Here is a 6,000-nt window from a genome sequence, read left to right on the forward strand (position 1 = left end):
GACCCAATCTCTGCCTCCCCACTTCTGAGACCGATTGCCTGAAGTTTCCCAACCAGCCTTCCTCTCTCCTGCCTGCCTGCCCCGAGACAATGCTTGATGATAACTGTGTTACCCTGCGATGTGTTACCTTGGTTTTTACTGTATCAGCTTCTCCTGAAGATGTCGCTTTCCATTCGATACCTGTGTTAATCACCTGATGTACATGCAAAAGACATGGCAGGTGTGTGTGTGCATGCGTGTGTGTGCACGTGTGTGTGCGTGAGCACAAACACATCTGTAGGAGTGCATGGAAAGCTGGAGGGAGGATTGCTTGCTCAGCTATCCTGTCTTCTTTCACATTCAGATGACACTGAATAAATCAATTACTCCCACTAAAACATTCTTCTGCCCCAACAGCTGACATGGACCCAGGCTTCCAGTACATTTTGAAATCCCCTGTTGCCGCCACCTTCTCTTACTATCTTCTTATTCATAGCATACTCAGAAGGTCCTGCAAGTGATGAGCTTTGAGCACTTTCCAAGACCCCTTCCTTCTGAGAGGGCAGTGGAAGGATATCCTTTAAAAGCTGTCTGTGCTCAACAAGCAATAAAGGTCGTGCTTCATGGCTGAAGGTTGAAAGGCACAGGAAGCAATCGGGCACACAGGACTTCTTACTGATCTCCTTATTTGCCTTCTTTTCTTCTAAGACAATGAGCTTGTGAGGCAGAAACACCCTTGGCTTTAAAATGCCCTCACTCACTCATTCATTCATTCACTTATTCTTCCTGTTATTGAATCAGAATAAGTGTTCAGTTCTTTTCTTTGTGCTGGGAAACACAAAGACAGGCAGTGCCCGGTGGCTGTCTTAGGGAGCTCGACCTCTGGTGGGGACGGCAGGGTAACCGGCAGCATTGCAGGCTGTGACGTGCAGCACAGGTGGAGGCATGAACTGAGGACACAAATCCCAGCAGATCGAGGACCAGCTTCCCTGTGACTGCATGTCCTGCAAGGTCATCTTGTGCGAGGTAGGGGCACCCCACAGAGGGGCTTCACCTCCTAACCCTGGCAACGCTGACCGATGTGCCAATGACAGCGGCTGAAGGGAACAGCTGAGAACATTGGAACCATGTCTCTCCATCTGCACGGGCTCTGAGAGCACTTGGTGATGGGGAGAAGCTCCCACCCCATCCTTTTAGTGGGGGCACAAAAAATCGCACTCCTCCCTCTCCTGTGTCAAGCCCCGTGCTGTCCTCACTGCAAAGCACCTCCAGATTCCCTGTGCTTTCCATCTGCCCATTTAATAGGAACCAACAAATTCTTCCAAAAGCAGAACCTTTGCAAAATCCCTGCTTTCAAATGTTCCTGCCCAAAGAGGCAGTTAAACGACAGAAACATTGCCCGTTTGGCTAATAGCTCTACAGAGCAGCCGGGTGTGGAGATGCACGGCAGAACGTGCCGGAAGTTACTGGGGAAAGGGCACCGTTTCCTGCCTTGCCTCAGTAAGCCTTCATGTGCTCTGTGCAAAGGGAAATGTCTTCATGCTTAGAATAAAGAATACTGGAAGCTACTGGTTATGAGGAACCTCCTCATCTTTCTCTTAGAACAAACGCTGGGATCCATTTGACTGAAAGCAGAGAGCCCGTTTCTAACTTACTGATGCCCTCAAGATTGGAACTTTTAAAGAATCCCATTCTTTGAGAGAGTGAAATCATGGGAGTGTTAATCATGGCAAAGCTACGGATGGCTGGAGGCCTCCAGGAAACATCTTCCTACTTTAATCTACCGAGCACCGGGTTGAAAAAGCAAAGCTTAGATATGACCCCAAAAGCACAGACAGCAAAAGCAAAAAATCAGACAAATGGGGTTGCACTAAACTAAGAAGCTTCTACACAGCCAAGGAGACAATTAGCAGAGTAAAGAGACAACCTTTGGAATGGGAGAAAACATTTGCAAACCATGCATCTTTTAAGGGGTTAATCCCCAAAATATACAAAAAACCCAAACAACTCAGTAGTAAGAAAACAAATAACCCAATTTAAAAATGGGCAAAGGACCCGAATAGACATTTCTCAAAAGAAGACACATAAGTGGCTAAATGAAAAACTTCTCAACATCACTAATCATCAAGGAAATGCAAATTAATACCACAAAGACACATGACCTCACACCTGTTAGAATGGCTGTTGTCAAAAAGACAAAAGATAGTGAGTGTTGGTGAGGGTGTGGAGAAAGGGGAATGTTTGTACTCCATTGGTAGGAATGTAAATTAATACAACCAAAATGGGGAACACTATGGAGGCTTCTCAAAAACTAAAAATAGAACTACCATATCATCCTGCAATCCCACTTCGGGGTATCTATTCAAAGGAAATGAAATCAGTATGTTGAAAATATATTTGCACTCTCATGCTTGTATTATTCATAATAGCCAAGACATGAGATGTGGTTTAGTTCTGTGTCCCCACCCAAATCTCATTTTGAAGTGTAATCCCCATAATTCTCAACTGTAGAGGGTGGGACCTGGTGGGAAGTGATCGGATCATGAGGGCAGTTTTCCATATGCTATTCTCATGATAGTGAGTGAGTTCTCACGAGATCTGATGGTTTCATAAGGGGCTCCTCCCCCTTTGCTGGCTCTCTCTCTCACCTGCTGCCATGTAAGACATGCCTTTGCTTCACTCTCATCTTCTGCCATGATCGTAAGTTTCCTGAGGCCTCTCCAGTCATGTGGAACTGTGAGTTAATTAAACCTCTTTTTTTAATAAATTACCTAGTTTTGGGTATGTCTTTATGGCAGTGTGAGAATGGACTAATACAACATAGAAACAACCTATGTGTCCATCAACAGATGAATGATAAAGAGAATGTGATATATATGTACACAATAAAATACTACTCAGCCTTAAACAAGAAGGAAATTCTGTCATTGACAATGACACAGATGAACCTAGAGGACATTAGACTAAGTGAATTAAACCAGGCCCAGAAACACAAATACTGCATTATCTCACTTACATATGGAATCTAAAAAATGTGAACTCATAGAATCGCAGAGTAGAATGGTGGTTATGAGACCCGGAGGGGGAAATGGTCAAAGGGCACAAAATTTCAGTTAGACAGGAGAAATAAATTTTGAAGATCTATTGCACAGCATGGTTACTATTGTTAATACAGTAATAATGTATTATAGACCGGAAAATTGCTAAGAGAAGAGATCTTGAATGTTCTCATCATGAAAAAGCAATATGTAAGGTGATGGATATGTTAATTAGTTTAATTGGAGTAACCATTTCACAATGTATACATAAATCAAAGCACCACATTGTACAATAAATACATAAAATTTTTTTAATTTGTCAATTTAATTTTTTTTTTAAAGCAAAGCTATTTTCCCACTTTACAAAGAATGAACACCGGAAGCTCTCAAACAAAGCCGCCTGGGTCTCACACCTTTCATCTGCAAAACTGATGCTTTGCTCTTTCTTCTACATGGAGCCATTTTTGGGGCAGAAAACATACCCTTGGGCATAGCCTTGAGTTGAAAATCTTTGAGGGTGTTTTCTGTCCAAATGACTGAAAAAATGAATAAAAGCCTCCCCATTTTCATGATGCTTATGCTTTGTGATGGGAGTAGCCTCAAATTATTGCTAAAGGGTTCCCTTTTCTTGTGTAATAATGAAAATCCAGGCAATTACTAGCAAAGAGAACAAGTTGCCTTGGTAGGAGGATTAGGCCTCATCATGATTGTGACTACTGGTTTTATTTCATGGCAAGAGAGGAGGCCAGGAGTCTGCTTGCTTTGATGGACCTTTGAATGATGACTGATTTCATAATGATACTTATTTAACACTTTTTATGTGTACTATTAAGCACTGTATGTAAAATCTCACTTAATCCTCAATATGGCCAAATGAAGTAGGCCCTACTATTTATACCTATTGACTGATTAAGAAAATGGGACATAAAAGGGTTTAGATAGCTTGCCCTAGGGCACACAGGAACTGGCAGTAGACTTCCTGCCTTCTGGGTCATCCTCCATGAAATTGCTGAGAACCACCCAGGAAAAGAGCAAGCCCTGGTGGCCAGCCAGGTTTGGGGCATGTGGTCTCCTAAGCTAGGGAACAGGGCTCCAAGGACTTCTTCTGCCTGCACTGCACGGTCTTTGCTCCTGTGGCCACCCTCCAGACTTCCAGATCCCCCAGCCAAGATGCATGCATTTTCTAAAATCAATATGGATCACTGCATCACCAAGAAAATAACCCAACAATTATTTTGTAAAGGATCCAATGGTGAGACAAGTTTTAATTATAATCCCTTTCACTCTGAATGCTTAGCCCCACCAACCTGCCCCTATTGTTTGTCCTGACGTCCTCCATTTGTCTCACAACCATTTAACAGATGCCTCCTGAGAAGCCATCCATGGGCGTGGGGCTGGGAATGGAGCAGTGAGCAAAAAGGAACAGGCATTGCTCCGTGGAGCATATACAGTATGGGGAAGCCTGGCATCTATGAAATCACTACACAAATATATGTAACTTGCATCTGCAATGATCATGAATGCAAATCAAAAATTCTAAGCCCCCCAACCAACTGAATGGACCCCCTCCTTTTGGCCAAGGGCATTCCAAAGTTAACCTGAAACACTAGTTCGGGGCATGATGGGAAGAGGGGATCAGGCATGCCTCGTTATGCCCTCCTCCCTTTGGAATTCAGGCACAGCTGGCCAGCATTCACATGAAAACAGAGGCATTAAGACTGAGGAAACAGACTCTTTGTAGCAATAAGATACCAACATGACAGATAGCAGGCCCTGAAAGAAATTGAAGCTTTTTACCCTAAAGTGTATTTCTTTGACATATTTTGAAATGGTCTCACAAAGCTGTCTCTTGTGAGGAAGATCAACATTCTATAATTTTCTTCCCTTTCCAGATCTTTCTCTGATCCAGGAGAGAATTAACTGAGAGTCTGGCCTCTTCTTAAGTCTGATAAGAAACATTTACAATCTATTCTCTCGGAAGCCTGCTACCTGGAGGCTTCATCTACATAATAAAAACCTTGGTCTCCACAACCCCTTATCATAATCCAGACACTCCCTTCTATTGATTCCAGGTCCTTAGATAACAATTTAATTATTTCAACCAATTGCCAATTAGAAAATCTTTGAATCCACCTATGACCTGGAAGCCCCATGACCAACCAATTTACATCTTATATGTATTGATTGATGTCTTCTGTCTCCCTAAAATGTATAAAACCAAGCTGTAGCCCGACCACCTTGGGCACATGTTCTCAGGATCTCCTAGGCTGTGCCATCTGCCATGGTCACCCATATTTGGCTCAGAATAAATCTCTTCAAATATTTTAGTTTGTCTCCTTTTGTCAACATGACTTTGCAGAAAGAAAACAAAGATGAGAGGAGGAGTTGGTTTCTGGACAGTCTCCTAGAAGTCTTCCTGTGAACATGGCATTGAAACTGTAACCAAAACACAGGCTCGGTTGTTCTTTGCTGGCAGAGTTTCATTAACAAGAGTATAAAGAAAGTGACTTTTTATGACAGAGCTAGCTTAGGGGAAGAAGTACAGGCTTTCTGCCTTAAGGGTGCTGCTTCCCTTTTGGAACAGAAAGCAGGTGCTTTTAAAAGGAAAATTGACATGTTGGGCACAGTGGCTCATGCCTGTAATCCCAGCACTTTGGGTGGCTGAGGCAGGTGGATGACCTGAGGTCAGGAGTTCAAGACTAGCCTGGCCAACATGGCAAAACCCCATCTCTACTAAAAATACGAGAAAAATAGCCTGGCATGGTGGTGCCTGCCCGTAATCCCAGCTACTTGGGAGGCTGAGGCAGGAGAATCGCTTGAACCTGGGAAGCGGAGGTTGCAGTGAGAAGAGATCGCACCATTGCACTCCAGCCTGGGCAACAGAAGCGAAACTCTGTCTTGAAAAAAAAAAGGAAAATTGACATAAATGGCATGCAGTGGAGGAAGCAGGCAGGTAGGGGTCTGTGTAACTCACTTTGGTGCT

The 6,000-nt window shown here is 43.5% G+C and overlaps 1 protein-coding gene across 1 annotated transcript in view, besides 1 other annotated feature; it reads left to right on the forward strand.

Moving 5' to 3' along the window:
- Positions 1–3,583, forward strand: part of PRSS55 (serine protease 55) — a 28,635-nt gene extending 25,052 nt beyond the window's left edge. The window contains exon 5 of the mRNA NM_001197020.2: positions 3,360–3,583. Coding sequence (NP_001183949.1) covers positions 3,360–3,449 — 90 coding nt within the window. The 3' untranslated portion in view covers positions 3,450–3,583. The remainder of the gene's footprint in view (positions 1–3,359) is intronic.
- Positions 4,463–5,177: an enhancer, noted in NCBI's record as "OCT4-NANOG-H3K27ac hESC enhancer chr8:10412556-10413270 (GRCh37/hg19 assembly coordinates)". NCBI's record gives its function as "activates a minimal SCP1, AML or CMV promoter by ChIP-STARR-seq in naive and primed H9 embryonic stem cells {active_cell/tissue: H9 hESC(naive and primed)}" and the evidence as "EXISTENCE:reporter gene assay evidence [ECO:0000049][PMID:30033119]".

The sequence above is a fragment of the Homo sapiens genome, chromosome 8 (genome assembly GCF_000001405.40).
Source record: "Homo sapiens chromosome 8, GRCh38.p14 Primary Assembly".
NCBI lineage: Eukaryota > Metazoa > Chordata > Mammalia > Primates > Hominidae > Homo > Homo sapiens.